The sequence below is a fragment of the Homo sapiens genome, chromosome 15, assembly GCF_000001405.40.
Source record: "Homo sapiens chromosome 15, GRCh38.p14 Primary Assembly".
In the NCBI taxonomy this organism is placed as follows: domain Eukaryota; kingdom Metazoa; phylum Chordata; class Mammalia; order Primates; family Hominidae; genus Homo; species Homo sapiens.
The window spans coordinates 40485142-40490076 of NC_000015.10; the positions used below are offsets into that span (position 1 = coordinate 40485142).

The 4935-nt window shown below is 52.4% G+C and overlaps 1 annotated feature.

Moving 5' to 3' along the window:
- Positions 4003–4654: an enhancer, noted in NCBI's record as "H3K27ac hESC enhancer chr15:40781343-40781994 (GRCh37/hg19 assembly coordinates)". NCBI's record gives its function as "activates a minimal SCP1, AML or CMV promoter by ChIP-STARR-seq in primed H9 embryonic stem cells {active_cell/tissue: H9 hESC(primed)}" and the evidence as "EXISTENCE:reporter gene assay evidence [ECO:0000049][PMID:30033119]".

A 4935-nucleotide genomic window follows, 5' to 3' on the forward strand; every position in this document is an offset into this window, starting at 1 on the left:
TGCTATTGGAACAGTAACATTTTTTAAATAATTGTTAATTTAATAATTGTTAATGAGACTCTTGCTGGTTAAAACACAAGTGAAATAACAAGATCTTATGCTTTACTTTTCATAATTGAAGGCATTCCTTTCCTCCTGGAAAGCACCACCTGAAACATTAGGATAATGTTGCAAACATTAGGATGATGCCTCCTTGTACCCACAAAGCAAATTTGCCAATCTTGTGTTGGTTTTCCCCCTCTGCCCCTCTCTTTGACTACAGTGCTATGGCTTTGTCCTCATTCCTTTTCCCTCTGGAGCCACAACTTTTCTCAGGGGTGTAGAGATACTTTACCATTCAGAGTGTGCTGTCACGAGCATCACTGGTCAGAAAACCATTCATGCATTGCCAGGGTCATTAGTGAGTGCCTACCTTGAGCCAGGCAGGTGCTAGCATTTCCCCAGAGGAACAATACAAGTTGCATTCTGGTGACAGGTCTCGTGAAAACTTTTGGTGGTCAAATATGTTAGGGAAATCCAGAGTTACACAACATTTAAAAGATGACTGCAGAATGTTTCTTTTTCCTAATACGTTAATGTGTCTCCTATATTTGCGTGAGAGGTGTAGACAACAGAACATACACTGTTCTTCTTCCCAACTTGTTTGACCAGGTAATCTCTCTTTCACAAGTGTGGAGTTCCTCTGAATCCGCTTTGGGAAAGACAAGTTTCTAAAAGACTCACATGAGCTCTTAAACCAGCTTTGCCATTTTTATTGTTTCCTGTAGATAAACACATGTTTAGTAAAGACGGGGTTGCACCAGGTTGGCCAGACTGGTCTCCAACTAAATGTTCTCACATACTTTTTTTTTTCTTTTTCTGGTGAGACAGGGTCCCTATCTGCCACCCAGACTAGAGTGCAGTGGCGCAATCACGGCTCACTGCAGCCTCGACCTCCTGGGCTTAAGCGATACTCCCATCTAAGCCACCCGAGTAGTTGGGATTACAGACGCACGCCACCATCTGGTTAATTTTTGTGGAGACAGGGGTCTCTCCACGTTGACCACGCTGGTCTCGAACTCCTGCCCTCAGGTGATCCTCCCGCCTAGGCCTCCCACATCGCTGGGATTCCAGGTACGAACCCCGTGGGCGCCTCCATCTTCTAATTTGTGGCTGAGCCAGATGAAGATTCAGGGAAAAAAGGGACTTCCGGTTTTAAAATGGCGGCTTGACTTCCCCGCCCCCCCAGGAAGCCAAAAACAAATATGCAGCCCCGAGATTTTCCCCAGCAACAATCTGGAGCTCAGATTTGAGGATGAGACAGATCCCGGGGGCACGGAGAAGTGAAAATCTTCCGAGCAGGCGATAAGAAAATCGGGTTTTCACATCCGCCACGCCCCTCCCCATCACTGAGCCCCACACCAAGCGCGGGGAAACTTTCCCTCCGCGCGCGGATTCCGTGGTGAGAAAAGTGAGGCCCAAGTGTCAACCAAGTTTCCCACCATGTTGGGTTTCCTGGCAGGAGGCGCGTCCTTGCCTCAGCCATGGAAAACGTGGTGCCTGCTGAGGGGAGCCACATCCCCAGGACTAGCAGAGACAAAGGGGACGGTGGGCGGACCACCATCCCCAGCCCTGGAAACTGCTCTGTAGCCAATCAGAGCAGGTACTCAGCAGCACCGAACTGGAGGAGGTGCTTGGGCGCCAAGCGCTAGGAGGCCTTCCCCCCAGGTAGACGGAGGGGGTGGGTACCGGAGCATTTATTGTATTACTGTTCGAACTGTGCGTTTATTTTATGTGTACTCCTTGAATTTTTTTTTTTTTTCCCCAAAAGTTAGGTTTTCGGCCGGGCACGGTGACTCACGCCTATAATCCCAGCACTTTGGGAGGCTGAGGCGGGCAGATCACTTGAGGACAGGAGTTGGAGACCAGTCTGGCCAACCTGGTGCAACCCCGTCTCTACTAAAAATACAAAAATTCGCTGGGCACCATGGCTCACGCCTGTAATCCTTGCACTTTTACTTTGGGAGGCCAAGGCTAGCGGATTGTTTGAGTCCAGGACTACAAAGACCAGCTTGGGCAACATGGCGAAACCCCGTCTCTACCAAAAAAAAAAAAAAAAAAATTAAATTAAAAAAAAAAATCCCAACAACAACCCAAAACTAAAAATTAGCCAGGTGTGGCTGCCCACACCTGTGGTCCCAGCTACTCGGGAGGAGGGAGGATTATTTGGGCCCGCAAGGCGGAGAGTGCAGTGAGCTGAGATCATGTCACTGCATTCCAGCCTGGGTGACAGTGTGACCTCGTCTACAAAAAAAAATTGTTGGCCGGGCGCGGTGGCTCACACGTGCAATCCCAGCACTTTGGGAGGCCGAGGCGGGCAGATCACAAGGTCAGGAGATCGAGACCATCCTGGCTAACACGGTGAAAACTCGTCTCTACTAAAAATATAAAAAATTAGCTGGGCGCGGTGGCGGGCACCTGTACTCCCAGCTACTCGGGAGACTGAGGCAGGAGAATGGCGTGAACCCGGCAGGCAGAGCTTGAAGTGAGCCGAGATCGCGCCACTGCGCTCCAGCCTGGGCGACAGAGCGAGACTCCGTCTAAAAAAAAAAAAAAATTGTTTTTGTAGAGGTGAGTTCTCGCTATGTTGTTCGGGCTGGTCTCGAACTCCTGGGCTCAAGCTATACTCCCATCTCAACCTCCCGAGTAGCTGGGATTACAGACGCGCGCCACCGTCTGACTAATTTTTGTATTTTTTGTAGAGATGGGGTGTGAGGTGGGGGGGTGGAGGCTGGTCTCGAACTTCTGCCCTTAGGCGATCCTCCCGCCTGGGCATCCCACATCGCTGGGATTCCAGGCATGAACTCAGTGGGCGCCTCCGTCTTCTAACTTCTGGCTGAGCCAGAAGATGATTGAGGGAGAAGGAGGACTTCCGGTTTTAAAATGGCGGCTTGACTTCCCCGCCCCCCAGAAAGCCAAAAACAAATATGCAGCCCGGAGATTTTCCTCAGCGAGAATCCGAAGCTCAGATTTGAGGATGAGACAGATCCTGGGACCACGGAGAAGTGAAAATCTTCCGAGCAGGCGGTAGGAAAACTGGGCTTTCACATCTGCCAAGCCCCTCCCCACCACTGGGCTCTGCAGCAGGCGCGGGGAAACTTCCCTCTGCGCGCGGGTTCCGTAGTGGGAAAAGTGAGGCCCAAGTGTCAGCCAGCTTTCCCACCATATTGGGTTTCCTGGTAGGAGGCCTGTCCTTGCCTCAGCCATGGAAAACGTGGTGCCTGCTGAGGGGAGGCACATCCCCAGGACTGGCAGAGACAAAGGGGACGGTGGGCGGACCACCATCCCCGGCCCTGGAAACTGCTCTGTAGCCAATCAGAGCGGGTACTCAGCAGCACCGAACTGGAGGAGGCCAGTCCCCAGATGCTTGGGCGCCAACCCCTAGGCAGCCTTACCCCCAGGTAGACGGAGGGGGTGGGTACTGGAGCATTTATTGTATTACTCTTCTAACTGTGGGTATATTTTATGTGTACTCCTTTGAATGTTTTTCTTTCCCCAAACGTTATGTTTTTCGGCCGGGCTCGGTGACTCACGCCTATAATCCCAGCACTTTCGGAGGCTGAGGCGGGCGGATCGCCTGAGGTCAGGAGTTCGAGACCAGCCTGGCCAACATGGTGCAACCCCGTCTCTACTAAAAATACAAAAATTTGCTGAGCACCGTGGTTCACACCTGTAATCCTTGCACTCTGGGAGGCCAAAGCTAGCGGATCGCTTGAGTCCAGGACTACAAAGACCAGCCTGGACAACCCGGTGAAACTTCGTCTCTACTCAAAAAAAAAAAAAAAAAAAAGAAAAAAGAAAAAAATCCCAACAACAACAACCCAAAACCAAAAAATTAGCCAGGCGTGGCTGCCCACACCTGTGGTCCCAGCCACTCAGGAGGAGGGAAGATTATTTGAGCCCTCAAGGCGGAGGGAGCAGTGAGCCAAGATCATGCCAGTGCACTCCAGCCTAGGCGAAAGCCTGGGTGACAGAGTGAGACCTTGTCTCCAAAAAAAAAATTGTTTTTGTAGAGGTGAGGTCTCGCTATGTTGTTCGGGCTAGTCTCGAACTTCTGGGCTCAAGCAATCCTCCCACCTCAGCCTCCTGAGTAGCTGGGATTACAGACGCGCGACACCATCCGACTAATTTTTGTATTTTTTGTAGAGACGGGGGAGAAAGGAGGGGGCGGGGCGGGGGGGTCTTTCCATGTTGCCGAGGCTGGTCTCGAACTCCTGCCCTCAGGCGATCCTCCCGCCTGGGCATCCCACATCGCTGGGATTCGTCGTGAGCCAGTGCCGCCTCCATCTTCTAACTTCTGGCTGAGCCGAGATGATTCAGGGAGAAAGGGAACTTCCTGTTTTAAAATGGCGGCTTGACTTCCCCGCCTCCCAGAAAGCCAAAAACAAATATGCGGACCCGAGATTTTCCCCAGCGACAACCTAGAGCTCAGATTTGAGGATGAGACAGATGCCGGGGGCACGGAGAAGTGAAAATCTTCCGAGCAGACAGTAGGAAAATCGGGCTTCCACATCAGCCACGCCCCTCTCCGCCACTGAGCCCTACACCAGGAACCAGGCACAGGGAAACTCTTCCCCCGGCGCTCGGGTTCCGTGGTGAGAAAAGTGAGGCCCAAGAGTCAACCAGGTTTCTCACCATGTTGGGTTTCCTGGCAGGAGGCCTGTCCTTGCCTCAGCCATGGAAAACGTGGTGCCTGCTGAGGGGAGCCACATCCCCAGGACTGGCAGAGACAAAGGGGACGGTGGGCGGACCGCCATCGCCGGCGCTGGAAACTGCTTGTTTCCAGGAGAGGCTCCAGGGAGGATCGCCTGAGGGCAGGAGTTCGAGACCAGCCTGCGGAGAGGCTCAATCAGAGCGGGTACTGAGCAGCGCCTCGCTGGAGGAAGCCGGTCCCCA